General features: G+C 60.1%; 1 protein-coding gene across 2 annotated transcripts in view; it reads right to left on the bottom strand.

The window, feature by feature from the left end:
* ADGRD2 (adhesion G protein-coupled receptor D2) overlaps positions 2,368-15,240 on the bottom strand; it is a 28,130-nt gene continuing 15,257 nt past the window's right edge. Inside the window, exons 14-25 of one of the 2 annotated variants that reach the window (NM_001395425.1) lie at positions 14,535-14,690; positions 13,124-13,227; positions 12,758-12,860; positions 12,276-12,429; positions 11,593-11,726; positions 11,401-11,516; positions 10,334-10,454; positions 5,461-5,502; positions 5,333-5,377; positions 4,533-4,591; positions 4,239-4,269; positions 2,368-2,667 (exon numbers count right to left, since the gene is read on the bottom strand). In NM_001395425.1, the coding sequence (NP_001382354.1) occupies positions 4,257-4,269; positions 4,533-4,591; positions 5,333-5,377; positions 5,461-5,502; positions 10,334-10,454; positions 11,401-11,516; positions 11,593-11,726; positions 12,276-12,429; positions 12,758-12,860; positions 13,124-13,227; positions 14,535-14,690 (1,047 nt within the window). In that variant the 3' untranslated portion in view covers positions 2,368-2,667; positions 4,239-4,256. Of the gene's footprint in view, positions 2,668-3,152; positions 3,887-4,238; positions 4,270-4,532; positions 4,592-5,332; positions 5,378-5,460; positions 5,503-10,333; positions 10,455-11,400; positions 11,517-11,592; positions 11,727-12,275; positions 12,430-12,757; positions 12,861-13,123; positions 13,228-14,534; positions 14,691-15,240 lie in introns of those variants that run through there. The other variant, XM_047423339.1, reaches the window with a different exon arrangement.

Genomic DNA, 15,240 nt, shown 5'->3' with positions numbered 1-15,240 from the left:
TTGGGGCAGAAGGAGCAGCCATTTAAGGGGCACCTACTGTGTGCCACCCTCATCTCACTGTCCCCGCAGCAGCCCTGTGAGGCAGGGGTTATACTCTAGGAGGGGAAGGCACTTGCCAAGGGCCCATGAGCCACAGACCTGGGAGACCAGACCCCTCAGAGCCCTGCCCTTTCCTGTCTGCCCCACCACGTCCCTCACAGGTTCCTCCCCAGCCCCACGTGGTGGCGGCAGTGAGCACCGCCGCCATCTGAGGCTTCCTCCACTCCAGGCCCCCTGCTTAGTGCTTCCCGCCTCATCTGGGCACACTGACTGCTCTTTGAAGCCACTTCTGTAGGTTACAGATGAGGAAACTGAGGCACAGAGGGCCCAAGCAGCTTGCCAAAGGTCACACAGCTAAAAGCGGCACAGCCATGGTACAAAGCTCCATCGTCCTGATCCATTTTGACTAACTTGACTAGTTCTTCTCCAGGGTCACCCCCGGCCTCCAGATGCTTCATGCAAATTAGAAAAACGTGTTCCCTCTCAGGTGATGCAGCCCTAGGCACACAGTTTGGCAGTGGCTTTTATGCAAAGAAAAAGGTGTCCCTCTTCTTCTTGGCACCTGCAGATGCCTTAGTTCCTGCCCTGGGCAATGTCCAGTCTTGTAGGCGGAGACTATCTTAAACCAGACTGTAGTCTGATGTGATACTGCATATATGCCTGAGACAGACAAGGTGAGGAAGTGATTGACCCTGCTCCTGGGAGAGATGGGTCTGGGGAACAGGAATACTTTTTAGCAGAGGTGTCATCCAAATTGGGTTTTGAAGGATGCCCAGGAGTTCACCAGCTAGATAGGAGCTGGGGACAGTTCAGGCAGAGGGAACAGTGTGAGCAGAAGGATGGAGGGGTATCAGCCACCGTGTCTGGGGATCTAGGAGAAGTTACTCTGGCTGGAGAGTAAAGAGAGGGTGTGTATAGGGGACAAGAGGGATATGGAATGGAGGGAGGTGGGGGATGGGAAAGGACCCCTTGGTCCCACCTTTGTCCCCTTCCCCACAGCCCATATGATGGGTTTTTGAGGAGACAGGAGCCTGTTGAAGGTGAAGATGCTGAGATGTAGGTGGTCGGGGGGCCACCAAGTGCCCTGCCTGCCTCCTTGCTGCCCCTTCAGCGTCCCGCCCCTCCTGTCCCCGCTGAGGATAGAGTGCCGCACTTGGCCCAGCGTTCCCAGCACAGGGCAGGGGCTCTGCTGGCCCCACGGAGCCATGCTGTCTTCTCTCTGGACTGCCTCCCCAGCCTGGCGCCTTCAAGGCCTTGAACGTCCTCTGGGGCACAGGCTCTGGCCCCCACAGCCCCGAACATCTGTCTCGGGCCACAGCTGACACTCTGAGTGCTTGCTGAGGGCCGTGCCAGGAACCAAGTGCAGGACTGCGCGGACCCCTCACATGACCCGCTGGGTGAGTATGATGTCCCCCATTCGACAGAAGACGGATGGGGCATCGTGAGGCTACGCAGCCATCCTCAGCAAGAAGCACCTGGGCCCTGTACCTGTGTGGGTGGGGCCAGCACCCTGGACAGATTTTGTCCCGGACTCAACCCAGGCAGGGTCCAGCGTGGAAGCTGGAGGCCTCTGGGAGCTGTGCGTGCCTCACTGGGTCTCGGCTGCTTCTCACTCAGCCCTGCCCCACCTCCCGGGAGCTGCTTGGAGGTCCTGGCTATGCTGTGTCACCTGTCACCTGGCCCCAGCAAGATGTGAGCCAGGCTGGCATCGGCAGGACAGTGTTGGCTGCCTGGGTGCCCCCACTCCCAGAGTCTGGGCCCTCATTTCCCTGCCGCCAGCCTTGGGGTCCACCCTGGCACCAGGCCTGGTGCAGAGCCCTCACATCCTTGCTCCCCTCCCTGCTCCGAAACCCATTCTACTGAGAAGAGACCAAGATTCAGAACGACCTTGCCCACAGCCACACAACTGTGGCAGCAGGTCCTGGTTCCATGGTGTGACTTGGAGGTATCCAGACTCACAACTTACCTGTGAGCTGTCTGCCTGGGTGGCCCCCACTCACACCAACCGTCACCCCTGCCCCCTGTGCTACAGGGCCTGGGAGACCCCAGGCCTGAGTGGTATGAGCCTGTGTCCTCCTCTGCACAGCAGGAGTGATGGCGGCTCAGGACTGCGGTGAGGATCCATGACTCTAAGGTGGTAAAGGGCTCAGCACCGTCCAGGGATACAGCAAGCGCTCATAAATGCTGGCTGCGCCTACCCTGATGATGAGGCTGAGGCCCTGGAGTCCCAAAGCCAAGTGGCAGCTTCTCTGGTTTCCTCCCTCCTCCCAGAGGGCCTGGCGTCCCCTCCCTCTGCCCAGGCCAGGACGACTCCCAGAGGACAGGAGAGCCCAACAGTCCTATTTATTACCAGACACGGCAGAGCCCGTTGGAACTTCGGAGCATGGGGGAAGGAGCAGATCACAGATAGGCAAAGACTGGGGGAAAGAGCCTGGGGACCTGGTGGGCTAGGGGAACAGGGGGCTGAGGCCCACAGTCCTTTAGGGAAAGCCAGAGGCTGAGGCCACGGGAGCTGGGGCCGCTGTTGGGGCTCAGGGACTCCCGCTGCGCCGTTCTGGGGTCTGGGGTCCCAGCAGAGCTGAGCTGGGCAGGGTTTGGCGACGAGTTTCCCAGCCACTCTCTAGAAACCTGGTGGGAAAGTGCGCCCTTGGGGCTGGGCTGGCAGAGGATCCTGGTGGAGAACCCGGGGATGGAAGGGCTCTGGGAACTGAGGCTTGGGGAGACCCTGGCCCGTCCTCGCTGTGAGTCTCAGCTTCTCCATCCTCGGAACATCCGCATGCCCTGAGGGCTCCGCGGCCTTTCAGGAGGGGCGGTGGCGGCCCCGCGAAGGACACAGCCCGGCAGCCTCCGCTGCCCCGCGCTTCCAGCTCGGGCCGCTGAGTGGCCCGCGGGGTGGGGTCGGGGCTGGAAGCGGGGGCGTCCGGAGAGCCGGGCCGGGTGGGGGGTCCGGAGGGTGGGGCCCAGGTGGAAGCTGCTCTGTTGCTACGAGCGGCCCTAGCAACGCACCCATTCAGCGGAGACAAAGGCGCCGTCACTTGAGCGCAGAGGCGCCGCCGCTCTCTTGTTCCTGCAGCCGCGGCGCCCGCGGGTGGGGGCGGGGCAGGTGGGGGAGGGGCGCTGGCCCCGGGGGGCGCCTGGGCGGGCCTGTGGGGGGCGCCTCCAGCCCATTCTGCAGAAAGGGAAGCTGAGACTCCCCGGGACCGAGATGCCAGCCGGGGATGGGGGCTGGTCGGGGCCTGGGATCCCACAACCCGGGTTCACGCGGCTCTACGTTTACACCCGCGTGGCTACTGCTGTGCCTGCAGTCCCCCATCTGCGCCAGTGGGGACCTGGCTCTGGCTCTGTGCGGGCTCTGGCTAGCGGCTGCGCCTTTCTGTGCCTCAACTTCCTCATCCGCGCAATGGGTGGAGAAAGGCACCTCCCCCTCCCCCTCTCTGAATCAGAATCACTGGGTGCCTGGGCTGAGCACTGAACCTGCCCCTGGGAGGGGCCTGGTGAACAGCGCTCTTGCCTTCGCTGGAAACAGTCACCTGGCGGAGGCTGAGGCGTGTGGGTTTCAGATGGAGTGCTCCCTCAGGGAGGCGGCCAGCGGTCAGGGTCCGCATGGCTCCCCTGGGCCCGGCTGAGCTCCCCAGGCTTCAGTCCTCTCCCTGAGCCGGAGCTGGGGTGTCCTCACCCTCCCACAGTACCCACCCTGCCACTGCTCAGCCCCCGTCATGCCCCCATCAGCTGTCCAGCTGGTGACCCGCAGCCTTGGAGGAAAGCACTTCTCCCTCAGCGGGTTTGGAAGGCTCTGGATCCTAGGGCATCAGGCCGGGGCCTTCAGAGGGTGACGGGGGGTGCTGGGCTTAGGGGGCAGAAAGAGGGGGAGGACAGAGAAAGGCAGGCTGTGCTCCTTGGCAGCGCCCCCCTGGGCAGAGAGAGGGGAGGACAGAGGGAGGCAGGTTGTGCTCTTGGCAGCGCCCGCTCAGAATAGGGTTCCATGACCTACTCTCTAATGAAGTCCTCCCAAGGGGTACTGCCTGGTCCCCGCCAGGCCCCCAGTGCTCCCAGGGGACCTGTGGAGTGAGGGGAGGGCCTCTGCAATTGCGGGAGGTTGGGCGTATTAATTTGAAATCACTTCCATCCTGGTACGGGGGGCTTAGGGGGTGTCCAGGCCCAAAAAGAAAAGAGGGGACCCCGTGAGGTGGGGACTGTACCTGAAGCTTTGAACGCTGTCAGTTCCACAGCCTGAGGACAGAGGGGCTGTCACGGGGGTGGCCCCCACTCCTTCTGCTGCCCCTTGCCCTGGGGACCCTTGGCTATAGGGGCCTCTGCCAGCTTGCCGCCAGCAGCTCCCCCTCCCTGGGCCCTTCAGCCCAAGAACAGAGAAACAGATCCCCGGGAAGCCCCCACCCCGGCCCTACCCAGGCCCTGTGGCTTCCCGACTTTGCCTGCTGGCTTTGCCAGCCCCCTGGCAGAGCCCTGTGCGGCCCACCCTGTCCCAGCCTCACCTGTCTCTCCGGGTTTGCAATGGAGGAGAATGCTGAGGGAGTTCTAGGGCCATAGGTCCCTAGGGAGGAAAAGGCAAATTTTTGAGAGACGAAGGCAGGAAGCCCTCTCTCTGCTCCCCCATCCTGGGAGTGGGGCCCTCAGGATCAAATACGCTAAGAATCCACTCCAAGGTTTACCTCACAGATTAGTAATGAGGCCCAGAGAGGGAAGGGAACTTGCCCAGGGGCACACAGGAGGTGGCTGGGAGCTAGGATTGGAACCCCTGGCCTGACCTCGAAGTCATTCAACCCATGCCCTGCCTCAGAGCCCCGACCCCATTTACTCACCATCTGCAGGAGTCCCCCAAACCCTTCTGCATGGAACCCCAGGGAAGGTCACCCTGGAGAAGCCCCATGCGTGGGCCAGGCCCCAGAAGCCCGGGTTTCCTGGCAGTGGGGAATGAGTGACAGGACATTGCTCAAGCCGCAGGGCTGCAGAGTTTCCTGGGCCCTGGTTTCCTTTTTTCAGATGGGCTAAAAGGATCTGCTTTTGTCCTCCCAGCTCTGCCTGAGTGCTGGGGAAACTGAGGCACTGGGCGGCACTCCCACCTGGGTGCTGCGAGTACCTCTGAGAGCCACGTGTCTCCGGGGTGGAGCCAAGGCTATGGGGCTCCCTCGGGCTGCCTCCCAGGGGCCTGGGGGCCTCAGGCTGGTCCCCCAGCTGGCAGGGCTGGCACGGGACTTAAAGGAGAGGATATGGGGGCTGGGACCTGGCTCTGGGGGCCTCCCGCCCCCACCCACACCCCCAGTGCCCTGAGCACCTCGGCCACCTTCTTCTCAGCCATCCTCTGCAGGGCGCTCCGCACCTGGGGGAATACTTGGAGGTCAGGCTGGGGACCCTCCCTACCCCTTGGACCCCTCTCCCTGCAGCCGGCACCCCCAGACTCACCTCCTCATTGCAGGCAGCATAAACCAGGAAGATGTACAGCCCCTGAGGACAGACCCAGCGAGTGCCTCAGCCCGGAGCCTCCTACCCCATCCCCCACAGCCTGGCCTTGCCTGGGGTCCCGGCGCCTCCCAGTGGCAGAGACACTTGCAGAGATACCCAGAGACAGGCTGATGGGCACGAAGTCGGCCCTGCCCTCGTGCCCGCCTGCGGAGGAGTAGCTGTGGCATTTAGCAGGCCAGGGGACCAGAAGGGGCTTTGCCCAGTGCAACCCCAGCCTTCAGCTTCTGCTCACCAGGCAGCCTCTGACTCCAGTCCTCTGTGCCCCACGCTGGGCCTGTCCCATCCTCACCGCCTCGCCATGCTATGTGGTGGGGTTGGGAGGGGCACACCTTCCTGAGGCTCCAAGGCCAAGTCAGGTCCTGGGACAACAGCCCTGTGAGTGCCTTCTCACTGTGCCTCTAGCTGAGTGGCCTTCACCTCCCTGAGCCTCTGTCTTTTCATCTGGAAAGGGGAGATGAGGCCGGGACTTGGGTTCTGAGGGGATGGGAGGTGCTGCCTGTGAGGGACTCACACCGTGGCTGGGGAGGAGCTGGCTCTCTCTCCCCACACCGTGGGACCAAGAGGGCCTCACCACCCTCCCTGCACCATCACATTTGGTCTCTCACTTGACCCTAACAGCAGGTCTGTGGTGGGGGTGGATTCATTCTCCCCATTTGATGGAGAGGGACCAGGAGCTGTGGGTGGGGGGCAGAGGAATGGATCCTAAGCTCCAGTGTGGCCCAGCCCTGAGGCTGTCCTGGGATCCCTCCTAGGCAGTGTCACAGGCAGCTGCTTCTGTGCTGCGGCCCAGGCGGGAGGACACAGGTGGGGGCCTGGAATTCCTTGGGGCCTTCCAGCCTCCCAGGGCTGAAAGCTGGAGTCCAAGAGCCTGACTGGTCCCCCTGGTGTCCAGGCACCAACTGAGATGATACCACCACCCCCATTCTCCAAGACAGACCCCAAAGCCTCCCAGGTCTCCAGGCCCAGCCTGATCTTTCTCTGTAGCCTCTGCACTGCCTTCTCCATCCCATTTCCTTCTACCCACTCCTTACCACCCAAAGGCATCTTTCCAAATGCGAACCCAAGAACACCAGCACCTGCCTGACGCCCTGCATGGCTCCCAACTACCCCTGGGACAAAATCTGAGCTCTTTTTTTTTTTTTTTTTTTTTTGAGACAGAGTTTTCACTCTTATTGCCCAGGCTGGAGTGCAATGGCACAATTTCGGCTCACTGCAACCTCCAACTCCTGGGTTCAAGCGATTCTCCTTCCTCAGCCTCCCAAGTAGCTGGGACTACAGGCATGTGCCACCACACCCAGCTAATTTTTTGTATTTAGTAGAGACAGGGTTTCACCATATTGGTCAGGCTGGTCTCGAACTCCTGACCTTAGGTAATCCACCCGCCTCGGCCTCCCAAAGTGCTGGGATTACAGGCGTGAGCCACCACACCTGGCCAAGTCTGAGCTCTTTACAACAGCTTTGAGGACCCCACTCTGTCTGCCCCCCACACTCCCTCCTGCCCCATTTCTCGCCAGCCTTACCCCTCATGTCTCCCCACCATTTGACCCCACCATGCCCCCTCCCCTGGTTTAAAACATTCTTTTCCGCCTCTCCATACAGCCGTCAGGTCTTGGCTGAGAGTGACCCTCTCCAGGTGGCCCATTCTGCCTCCGATGAGTTGTTCCTCTGTCCCCACACTGCCTTGACCAAGGCCCCTTGTCTCTCGGCCTCAGTCATGACACACTGTGGTTGTGTGGCTTTGATGTCTGTCTCTCCCTCAGGCTGAGAATGTCACAGAATTCTTTGGCCCTGGGCATCTCCATGTCCCCCAGCGTGCAGGCCAGCCCTGGCATGGGGAGGTGCTAGGGGAGTGCGTGTTGAACAACTGAACAAAACAAATGAGCTCACACTCGTGGGGCTCCTAGCACGTGCCAGGGATTGTGCGTAGCCTTGGCAAATGTTACGTCAGCTGAACTCCACGATGATCCCATGAGGAGGGTGGGAATCTGATCCCCTTTGGTTAGACGTAGAAACGGAGGCCTGGTGCCACTTCTCCAGGCCTCACAACAAGGCTCTGTCCACCAGGGCAAGTGTGAGCTACGGCTGGTTATAGAAGTGAGGCTTTGCTCTCCCTTGACACAACCCGGCACAGTGGCCAGAAGGACACAAATTACTCCTAGAGAGTGAATGAGGTTGGGCAGAGTCTCATCCCTGAGTCCCAGGCCTCCTCCCTGGTCACTTGGTCACCCTCCTAAAAGTGGGATGTACCTAGCTTATGCCCAAGACTGACGGAGAGTGAGAGAGGGACAGGGATGGAGGTGGAGTGTGAGGGGAAAACACAGAGAGACCTTGGTGGACACAGAGAGACAGGGAGAGACCAAAGGAGAGGTGAAGGGAAAGGCCGGGCCTGGGGAGAGGGACTGACTGAGAGAACAGGGCTCTGAGCCTAAGAGGGTCATGTGACTGTCAGCGGCGGGGCCCAGACCCCACTCCTGCCTTTTGAGCTCCTGCCTAAGGCAGCCTCTCCTTGCCTTCACCGGGTGACCGTCCCAAGGGTAATCTGAGGCTGCTTTAGGCAGAGACAAGAGAGTGTCATGCACAGGGAGATGGAGAGGCAGAGATAAAAAGACTGGTGTCAGAGGGCTGGGTGCGGTGGCTCATGCCTGTAATCCCAGCACTTTGGGAGGCCGAGGCGGGAGGATCACTTGAGGTTAGGAGTTCAAGACCAACCTGGGCAACATGGTGAGACCCCCGTCTCCACTAAAAATAAGAAAATTATCCAGGCGTGGTGGCAGGTGCCTGTAATCCCAGCTACTCAGGAGGCTGAGGCAGGAGAATCGCTTGAACCTGGGAGTCAGAGGTTACAGTGAGCCAAGATCATGCCACTGCACTCCAGCCTGGGCGACAGAGCGAGACTCCATCTCCAAAAAACAAAACAAAACAAAACAAAACAAAAACAAAAACAAAACAAAAACAAAAAACAAACAAAAAACAAACAAACAAACAAACAAAAAAACAAACCAGTGTCAGAGAGACTGAGGAGAGAAGTGGAGAAACATGAAGACATGCCCAGGAAGAGCCAGGTGGGGTCAGTGCCAGAAAAAACATCCATGGCCAGAGGGTGAGAAGGGCACAGGGAGAGGGGGACAGTGACAGAGGGGGAGCCTGAGAGACAGAACCAGAGAAGATTCAGAGATGAAGATTGGGACAGAGAGGAAAGAATGAGAACTGAAGGGAGGGATCTGAGACGGTGCGACGGTGGCATTGCCCCATGGCTGACGGTGGCATTGCCCCATGGCTGACGGTGGCATTGCCCCATGGCTGTGTCTCTGCCCACCCGAGGGGCACAGGTGAGGATGGAGAGCATCAGGAATCCAACCCCCTATGATGTGGAGAGGGGCACCTGGCAAAGAGCTGGAGGAATCGCCATGGCAACAAGATGCCACCACCTGCCCCACCGTGTGACAGGTGGAGAAGCCTCGCCAGGGGCCCAGCCAGACTGAACCCAGCCATGAAGCCCTGGGGGGCGTGGGGCTTGGAAGAGGGCTTCCTGCCTCGTCCCCTCACTGAACACTTCATTTCTTCATCGTGGCCATGGTCTGCCTGCTCTACCAAGGGCAGCTCCACAAATACAGGGGCTTTTTGCTGCCTCTTCTGCTGCTGCGGCCTGGCACCCAGCACAGTGCCTGGCACACACTGGGCGAGCCATGAAGAGCACATGGATGAATGAGTAACTGGGTCCAAGCATGCTCCCAGGGACCAGCCAGGACCCATCTGTGGTCATAGCTGGATGCCCTGTGGCTGAGAACGCAGACTCTGGAGTGGTGCCCCCGCTGCTGCTGCCTCCTGGGGGGCCTTGGGCAAGTGACCTCATGAGGTCTCAGTTTCCCCACTTACAAGGCTTATTGGGAGATACAAATAGGAGCCTGGCCTGGGGCTCAGAGGGAGCACCCAGGCACTGTGAGTGGCTGTTACCACCTTGGCTCTCCTTCTTCAAGGAAAAGATGGAGGGTCCCCAGCTTGGAGGACACATGGACCCTGGGTGGAGTTCGCACCTGACTTCCTGAGCCTGGCACAGTCCAGCCTGGGCCCTTGCCCACCCACCTTTTGGCCCTGAGAGGGACCCGGGCTGGGCAAGCAGGGAGCAGGAGGTGCAGGTGACAGGGAGAGGTGCCTGGGGGGTGGTCCAGGGAGGTCGAGGGAAAACGAGGGGCCAGGAAGGGCCTCCCTGACTCCCAGCACCCAGCCCCCTGGCTGTCACTTCAGTTAATGTTCTGGCCCCCCACAGACCTGCCAATCCCCCGAGAGGGACCTAGTTGGCCCTCTCCCTGTGGTTCTAGCACACAGGCCCCAAGAGACCCGGGAAGCCCGGGCCCTTTCCTGTGGCCTCATGAACTGGCCTCCTCACCAAACCCTCTTCTAAACTGCTATCCCAGCAGGCCGCAGACCCCAAGGGGGAGGTGACTGATGCCCTGTGTCCCCTCCCCAGCTTTCTGGCAAGAACTAAGTGGCTCTGGCACTGGCCAAGGGGCTGGAATTTCTGCCGGACCCTGAGTGTCCAAGCACAGTGAGCCTTAACACCCTCTTTCTGGGTCTCAGCCTTCCCAGCTGGCAGAGGGGCCCCGTGAGCCTCCTGCACGAACCGCTGGTTGATTGGAGGTTGCCTGTTCCCACTGCCACCCTCAAAACCCCTTCTTAGATAGGATGTCCCAGTTGCTGTTGAATGTCTCCCATGATGGAGAGCTCACCCTCCCAGGCCCTGACACCCTAGTCGTCCCCTCTGAGCTTTCGTGCATGTCAGGGCCTAGTCCCAGAAGGTTGGGGCTGGAGGTACCTGGATGGAGTTGAGGCCCACGGCAGCGTAGGCCCAGGCGGGGCTCAGGTGCACCAGGATGCCTGCCAGCCAGGTCAGGCCTAGGACGGGCAGCAGGACCAGCACGGGCTTCACCGTGGCCCTGTAGGAGGGCAGGCAGGGCTGACGGGGGTTGGGAGGCCTGGGGAGCTCCCCGCAGGGCTCCAGGGAGAGCAGCACCTGTACGTGCCTGGAGCGGGGTGGGAGCTGAGGGCCGGGACCATGGCTCAGCAGGACTTAGAGGGAGCCAGAACCTTTGACTGGACTTTGTTGCCCCCCCTGTTCTCAGAGACAGAGGTGGCATGAAGTAGGGTAGCGGCACTTGGGAGATGGGGTCCCAGCCCCCAACCTGGCTGGAAGGAATGGGGTGGTAGTTGTCCAGAGTGGGGGCTGAGGCCTGAGCAGTGGGACCAGCAGGGATGGGGTTAGAAGGACTCCCTTCTCCCTCTCCAAGGGCCCTGGGGTTCCCTGGCTTTTCAGGGACCCCCTCCCAGCTTAGGCTGGCCTGTGCTTGGTGGAGGATGGGTGGGGAAGGGGAAAGCCAGCAAGGAGGCAGGGCTGGGAAAGGCCGGTGGGGTCCCTCTCTCTCCCAGAGTGTGACCCCAGAGGGCGATGCGGGTCTTTGGCAGGAACAGGGACCCAGGTCCTTACCCTGAACCTGAACTTCTGGAGCTAACCCTGAACTTCTGGGGCTAACCCTGATTTGAGGGTCTCCCCTACTTTGTCTCCTGCAGGCTATCAGTACCTGCCGCAGACAGTGCACTCCTTGAACAGTGGCCAGTGTCCACAGCTCCCTCAAACGGATCAGTGACCATCCCCACATGTGACACGCATGGGTGCATGTTGACACATGTTGACATGCCCAAGCATGTGTGACACAGATGCAGGGACACGTGTGTACCCACATACTCAATACAGACTTGGGCATAGCCACACGGTCACGCTCTGGACACAGACTCGCACGTGCTCTCGCCCAGTGAGCCTCACGCCTGGCGCCGGCTGACTGTGCACTTCCTGCTTCCTGCTGGCCCCCCATTCTGGGGCCTCACCATATCTGGGTCCAGATCTGCTGCTGCAGGCAGGGCTGTGGGCTCAACATGCGGGCACGGCGGCGGGCACTGGACACGGTGATCATTACCACACGGGCCAGGATGCAGGTGTTGGCCTGGAGACCTGGGGTCAGTGGGCAAGAGGACTTCCCCATCCCCAACACGCCCCTCCCCTGCAGGTCCCCAGCTCACAGTCAGCACGAAGAGCACAGGCCCCACGAAGGCCCAGATGGCATTTGTGTGCACATTGAGCCAGCAATGTCCGGGGGCCACGTAGTCATGGGGGAGCATGGCCAGGGTGACCGCCACGATGCCCACAGGCACGCCTGGGAGAGGGAGAAGGGGGCCTCAAGGCTGGGTCACCTGCTTTTTCCTCTCCAGGACCCAGGATCCGCCCCCCAAGCCGCAGCTGTCCCCTACTGGAGGTTGTACTGGGGGCACTGGGGAGGTCCAAGGAGCAGGGCTGGGGGCTCTGATGCTGTTGGGGTGGCATTGGAGCCACAGTAGTTTGGGAGTCGGGAGAGCTGAGGCTGCTTTGGAGGCTACAGCTGGGCGTCTCTGGAGACGGAGGCTGGGCAACTGGCTGGCTACAGATTTGGGGAGATAGCACTGCGGATGGAGAGGGGAGGCTGTAAAGTGGAGAAGGATTATGAGGAATGGGGATGGGTAAATTGGAGGTTAATAGAACTGAGGAAATTGAGGTCATGTCAGAGATGGGACTGGCTGGGTGGTGCTGGGTTCTGGGTGACGCTAAATGCCGGATGCTGAGTGGTGCTGGGTGCTGAGTGCTGGGTGTGGGGCCATGTTAGATGGCAGGGTCGGCCGTGCAAGGTACAGCTGAGGAGAAGAGAGTGTGGGTGCAGAGCAGGCCTCACCCCAGCCTGTGGCGTGGTAGAGCCGCATGCCTGGGCCCGGGTGCATGCTCACAGCTACCACCTTCCTCCACAGCAGCAGCCCCTCCACCAGCATCCAGGAGAATGCCACCAGAAAGAGGAAGTGCATTGCGACTGTGACAGCCACACATGCCACCTGTGGGAGGGTCAGGATCCCCACCCAGGTCCGAGGTCAGACGCAGGTGCAGGCCAGCCCCGCGGCCCATGCCCAGCCCGGCCTTGCCAACCCAAAGAAGTCTCAGTGGGTGAGGCCTCTGGGTAGCAGCCTGGGCCCCGCTCCACCATTCGGGGCCTTTCCTCCCAGGGCCCTTTCCTCCCGGGGCCCTGCTCCTCCCCGGGCCCTGCTCCTCCCCAGGGAAGTGGAGCCATGTGAAAATAGTTGGGGGCAGGGGGTCACCCTAGAAAAGCCCACAGGCACTTTCCCAGGCTTCCCCGGGCTTCCAGCCCACCCACTGGCTGCCCACCTCATTGGCCTTGGCCCACTCGCTGGTCATGAGGAAGCCCTCGGCAGAGGCCAGGGAGAAGGTGAGGTTCTTGTGGACTGTGGTTCGCTCTGACTTGGGGACCCTGGAGAGGACAGAGGAGTCAGTTAACAAGAACACCACTGCTGGTCCCCACACCCCGTAGGGCCCTGTCCTGCCCGATCCCCTGTGCCTGGGCAGATGGAGGGAAAGAGAGCAGCTCCACAGGGGACCCAGCACATCCTAAGGAGAGGCTCAGACCAAGGTTCTGCTGGGACCAAGGATGGACACCCGACCAATGGGGACATGGAGGCCTGAGCGAGGCGGGAGGGCCCAGGCCACCAGGCTACAGTGGTGAACTCTCCTCACCCGGCCACCAGGAAGAGCAAGAAGGTGGTGGTGAGGGCGCAGAAGGACACGCCACAGCCCACAAATGACAGAGTCCTCAGCAGCGACTCCTCCTCAGGGCCTCTCTGTGTGGAGGGACAGAGAAACCCCCCTGGCACCACCCAGACCCAACCCAGGCCAGAACTCGCCCCACCTGGTGACTCTAAGGCCCCCCACGCCGCATTCGCCTCCACAGTGCAGCAGCAGCCAGCAGGACCCAGGCCTGCACACAGTAGGCATTTAATAAGCAGGTGTGAGCATGTCCTTCTCTCCTGCTGGCTCTCCCTAGACTGACCCCAACTGGCCCGGATTCTACCAACTGGACAATTACTAAGAGTGCTGACAAACGTGCCCACGGGGAGGGATCCCGGGGACCATGGAGTATCATCAGAATGGGGCTGCGGATGATACTCATGATGTGGAAAAGTGTCCACGCTCTGACTTTTTTTTTTTTTTTTTTTTTTTTGTTGCTTCAAGACAGTCTGTCACCCAGGCTGGAGAGCAAGTGGCGCAATCTCAGCTCACAGCTCACTGCAACCTCCGCCTCCTGGGTTCAAGTGATTCTTGTGCCTCAGCCTCCCGAGTAGCTGGGACCACAGGCACGGGCCACCATGCCCGGCTAATGTTTGTATTTTTAGTAGAGATGGGGTTTCACCATGTTGGCCAGGATGGTCTCCAAGTCCTGACCTCAAATGATCCGCCTGCCTTGGCCTCCCAAAGTGGTCGGATTACAGGTGGGAGCCACCGTGCCTGGCCCTGACTCTACAGGAAAAATGCATTTGGTAACATGTTTTTGTAGTGTGCCCCTCAACACTACAAGGTGTTCCTTGTAGTGACCCCAGCGTTCCTGAGGCTCACGTCCCATCTCACCTGACTTCTCAGCAAGTAACCACTCCGGGGCCCTTTCCAGCTCCAGTGAATCCGACCCCTCCTGACATCCTCTTAGAGTTTTCCCCCAACAATTTTTTTTACAATTTATTATTTACTCATTTATTTTTAGACAGGTTTTTGCTCTGTCACCCAGGCTGGAGTGCAGTGGTGTGACCTTGGCTCACTGCAGCCTCGACTTCCTGGGCTCAAGCAATCCTCCTGCCTCAGCCTCCTGAATAGTTGGGACTATAGGCACGAGCCACCACACCTGGCTAATTTTTGCATTTTTGGTAGAGACGGGGTTTTGCCATGTTGCCCAGGCTGGTCTTGAACTCCTGGGCTCAAGTGATCAGCCGCCCAAAGTGCTGGGACAACAGGCATGAACTACTGCATGCAGCCCTGTCCCCGACAATCTATGAAAGCTGGCATCCCTCAGATGCTTCTTCTGGCTACCTATTGGCTCTTCTCTTCACCTCCAGCTAAGAAGCCCCCTCCTGACACCCCCCTCCCACCGTGCACTCACCTGTACTTCATAGATTTGCAGCAGGATGGCAAAGCTGGTGCTGTGGTTGCAGAAGCAGGCGGTGGAGTCCAGGTACAGGGCAGCCACGGAGCAGCCTGTGGTGGCCCAGGCACCCCCTGTATATGGGCTTGGGGGATGGGGAGGGAACAGGGGGCTCTTGAGATAAGGTGGACAAGGGGGTGAGGGGCCAGAAGCAAGCAGGGGAAAGGCTTTCCCCAGAGCCTGGGGCCTGTCACTGCCCTGCCTCTAACCAGCTAGGTGACCTTGGCGAGTCACCGCCCCTTCCTGGGTCTCAGTTTTTCACCTGTAAAATGTGCTTGACATTCTTAGGATGGTAGGAGGGCAGGGCTGATCCCAGTGACTGTCATTTATCAACTTAATTAATTACTGAGCCACTGGGACCAAGGTTCCCTACCTCAGCTAAAGATCCAGGGCAGGGAGCCAGGATAATCCCTGGAGCCTGCTCTGCTCCTTCAAGAGTCCAAGGGCCCCGGCCTCAGATAGATCAAGTTCAACGCCAATTTGACAGATGATTCTCTTCCTAGGCACCTCACAGAGTGAGTGCTTCCTCCTTCACATACTCCTATGACAAGGAGCTCACTACCCCCTGGGTAACACATCCTCCCGCTGCAGCTTGTCTTAGAGCTGGGAGGAGCCTGGAGTCACCCTGAAAGGCAGATGGTGAACAGAGGTCAAAACCATGTGT

Source organism: Homo sapiens, chromosome 9 (genome assembly GCF_000001405.40).
Source record: "Homo sapiens chromosome 9, GRCh38.p14 Primary Assembly".
In the NCBI taxonomy this organism is placed as follows: Eukaryota; Metazoa; Chordata; class Mammalia; order Primates; family Hominidae; genus Homo; species Homo sapiens.
Note: the sequence above shows the minus strand (reverse complement) of the source record. Positions and strands in the feature narration are given on the sequence as shown.